The following is a 3,972-nucleotide window of genomic DNA, read 5'->3' on the forward strand; positions in this document are numbered from 1 at the left end:
AATCATCTAGGATTGTGGAAAGGAGCTTCCGGAAGGGTGGAGCCAAGTCTTATATTAATTCTCCTGGGAACTGAGTGTGAGGTGGTGGTGCTCCCCCTGGGCGATTCCTGACAATAATTGCTATGGGGGACAGGAATCTTGAAACTGAGAAGAGATTTCTCTGTGCACATCACAATCCTGTTTCACTGGTCCTGCAAATACACAGCCTTGAGAAACCTAAACAGGGAATCTTCTTTAACGCCGTACCACTTTGCTGCACAGCTAACTAGATGGAGGAAGGAAGAGTAAATTAACAATCAGTACCCACCTCCTCTGTGCCAAACCCTGTGCTCGGCCCTTTATATGTTATCTCACTCCATTTAATCCTTAAACAATAAATACATTCCTGTAGTGGATATGTGATATTTCCCTACCATACATTCCAATTTTTACCCACACCTCCTCCACATGGCCCGCATGTTCTAGAAAAGCTGGCCTACCCCTGCTGCTAGGGATAGGATAAGTGGCTAGGGCTTAAGCTGATCGGTATAAGCCCATTCCCTGGTCACAGTTCAGGGAAGAGATATCACCAAATTCAAACCAATAAGAAGTTTTCTGGGGGTGTAGGAAAGTAGCTCACTTGTGCAAACTTTTCCTCTCTCTCTCTCCTTCTAGAAGGAGCTGACATGAAGCCTGGAATTGCCATAGCCCTTTTGCCACCATCAAGAAATGAACCAATGTGAACCTGAGAGACCCAGCCTTTCAGATGAATCCTGAGTGGCTAACTGGTCCTAAATTTAAAATGGAGCCAAGATGCTATTTGCTGACTAAAGGTCACACAAGTCCTCTGAGTTCGCTGAAAACCCATACCTTTTTAACTTGGGGACTTTCAGCTCTGACCTGAACCAACAGAGCTCACCTGCCCCGCCAATCAGGGCTCAGCTGTATCAACCAATCAGAACTCAGCAGTGTTGACTAATCAGAACCATGCAAGTTTGAATCCTTTATTTGCATAAACAGACCTGACTGGGATCCCAGACAAGAAATTTTGCTATAAAATCTGAACGCTCTCTTTGTTCACTGAAATGCACGCAGACGGCTATGATCTCCTCAGTTTGCAAACTGTTTACAAGGATGAAGCCTTTTCTCCAAATTCCTTCTCAGAGAACTTTTGTTCATAAGGGCAACCAGCGCCAGAGTGAAGTTGACTTCATGAAAGAGCAAAGGGACAGGAGAAATCAATTTTTGATGATATCACTGAATACCAAATCAAAAACCCTAAAATTTTCCGTCCTTTTAAAATTTCCTCTTATATGGGAGCCAAGTAAAACCACTTATTAATTTACCTAGTCTGAGTTGAGTATTCTATTACTCACAACATAAAAAGACTTAACTCTATTGATTAGGGTAAAGCTATTCTGCCATAAGAAGGAAACTCAACAATGATGGAATGGTTTAAAAATCTAAGTTCATTTCTCTCTCATCTAACAGTGGGCAGGTGTTCCAGGTGGACAGGCAGCTCTGCTTCATATCTGCATTTAGAGAACCAGGTTCCTCCCAGATCATTACTCTGAAACCCCTATGATCTTGCTCTTGTCTCCACAGTCAAGGTTGGGTTGTTCTGAGTTCCACCTTGTAGGAAGGGGAAAGAACATGGAGGAGTCTTATGTCCCAGAGCTGAATATGACACACACTTTGCTCACATTCCACTGGCAGGGAATTAGTTCCTTGATCATGTCTAACAGCAAGAGAGACTTGAAAATATGTTAGCAGCCATGTGCCCACATATCTGTTACCACAAAAGAAAACAAGAATGGATTGGGGTTAACTGCCAGCCCCGCAGTCTTAGCCACATTAACCATTATAGAACCCATTTTACATAGGAGAGAAGTTAAGCTAAGAAAACTTGCCTTACATAACCAGTAAGTGACAGAGCAAGGATTTGAACCTCAACTTCAATACTCACTTCCACATGCTCCATAAGGTAGACTTCTATTGCTCCTCCATGTATGTATTTATCCTTCTTCCCAATTCCAGCTCTTGAAATGACCTCATCCACCATTAGCAACATATATGCCATAAGTTACTATCTACTCTGGCAGTTGCCTGGTACCCTGCAAGGATAGCCAGCTTCTGGCTTAACTCCCAACCACAACTTTATTTTCTGCTCTCTAGGGGAGGAGGTGTTGAAGAAAGGATTGAGATGATTATCCCAGTCTGGCACACAGAAAGAGGTCTGTGTAGTAATATCCAGCTAAAAAGGCAGTTACTTGACAACTGCAGGGGAAATCAGGTGGCAAACTGAGGACAGAAGCAGAGAGAAAATGTGTGGCACCTGGAGGAACAGAGAAAATGTAAAGATGAAGATGGAAAGCTACTAACAATCAATAATAAAAGAGGCTGAAATGGAAAATTAAGGACATAGAACAGACTGGGTGAATTTAGGTCATTTCTGATGTAATGTGTCCAGCATTTCTCTTAAACAATTTTTATTTACTAATTTGAATTAGCAGTACATTTCCAAAATGAACAAAGGTTTAAAAGGAAACACTCTCTCCCCTACCCTATGCCCCAGGCACCCATTTCCTCTCACCAAGGTACAAAATATTATCAATTTCTTGGATATCCTCCTGGACATATTTTATGCATAAGAAGCAAATACAGGCATGTCTTGTGTAAGTATTTTTTCTCCCCTCTTTTATTGACCAATTTTCTACACCTTAATTTTTTTCACTTAAAATATCTTGGAGATCTTTCAAGGTGTATATATAAAGATAGTATCCTCCTTTATTAAAGAGTACTCTTTTTTATGGCTATATCATATTTCATTATATGAATATGCATAACTTATTTAAATAATCACTTATTGAGATATCTAGACTGTTTTCAATCTTCCACTATTACAAACAAGGCTGCAATATGCAATCTTGTGAACATCTCATTCTCTATGTATGTGACTAAACCTATAGGATAAATTCCTAGCACTGGCTTTAATAAGTCAAAGCATATAGATGTTCATAAGAATATTTCCAAATAACCCTTCATAAGATAGTACCAATTTATTTTCCCACCAGTCATATATGAGAGCACCTGTCTCTTCACATTCTTGCCAACACAGTGTGTTGTTAATTTTTTGTCATTGCCAATCTAATACATGAAAAATGGATGTCTGTATATGTTTAAACAACATTCGTGTTCCATTTTCTATGGACTTTTTTGCACATTTTTTATTGGGCTATTGGTCTTTTTCTTATGGATTTTTAGGAGTTCTTTACTTACAAAGAAAATTAGCTAGCTTTTGTCTATTAAATGAGTTCCAAATAGTTTCCGTTTTTATAATTGTCTAGTGACTTTTTATGATGGGTTTTGCATTGCAGAAAAGCATTCCTTTTATTCACTCTCTGAAGCATCTCACTAAATTGGGAGATGCTCATAAAATAAGCCAAACTTTCCTAGATTGCAGGAGGCAGCATGAACTGGGGAAAACTTCACTTTTGAGGGTTTCCTCTCCTGTTTGATCCCACCCTTAATTACTCCCTGGTAATGATATTGTCACAGAACTCAGCCCACTGAATAAATTAATATCACTAACCATGACTTCCAGCAGTAACAGAGTGCAAAGGAAGCCAAGTTTCCTGCCCTTTGGCTTCCCAGCTAAGTCAGAGAGGAAAATAATGTTCTGAAAATCCCCAGAGAATGTTGTTGACACATCAGCTTTCATTTTTCCTGCACCTACTTCCTCCATAAAATTCAATTATAAAAGTCCTTCCTAGGTAGTCATTCAATGAATGGCACTGGGCTGAAGAAGAATAGACCTGTGGGTGGGTTACTAAATGGATGGGAAGAGAAAATAAAGAAAAGGAGTAAATGAATAACAGGAGAAATCACACTGCAAGTAAGGGGCATTTCACAACAGGAATGAAATTGCTTCTGCCACAAGCAGGCAAACAAATTTCTTCACACAAGGAAGGAGGGAGCATATTTCAGAAGGCC

The 3,972-nt window shown here is 39.8% G+C and overlaps 1 annotated feature.

Annotated features, from left to right (window-relative positions):
- Positions 241-1,440: an enhancer, noted in NCBI's record as "P300/CBP strongly-dependent group 1 enhancer chr12:68795808-68797007 (GRCh37/hg19 assembly coordinates)". NCBI's record gives its function as "activates an origin of replication core promoter dependent on BRD2, BRD4, P300/CBP, MED14 and CDK7 cofactors, with strong dependence on P300/CBP, by STARR-seq in HCT116 cells {active_cell/tissue: HCT116}" and the evidence as "EXISTENCE:reporter gene assay evidence [ECO:0000049][PMID:35650434]".

The sequence above is a fragment of the Homo sapiens genome, chromosome 12 (genome assembly GCF_000001405.40).
Source record: "Homo sapiens chromosome 12, GRCh38.p14 Primary Assembly".
In the NCBI taxonomy this organism is placed as follows: domain Eukaryota; kingdom Metazoa; phylum Chordata; class Mammalia; order Primates; family Hominidae; genus Homo; species Homo sapiens.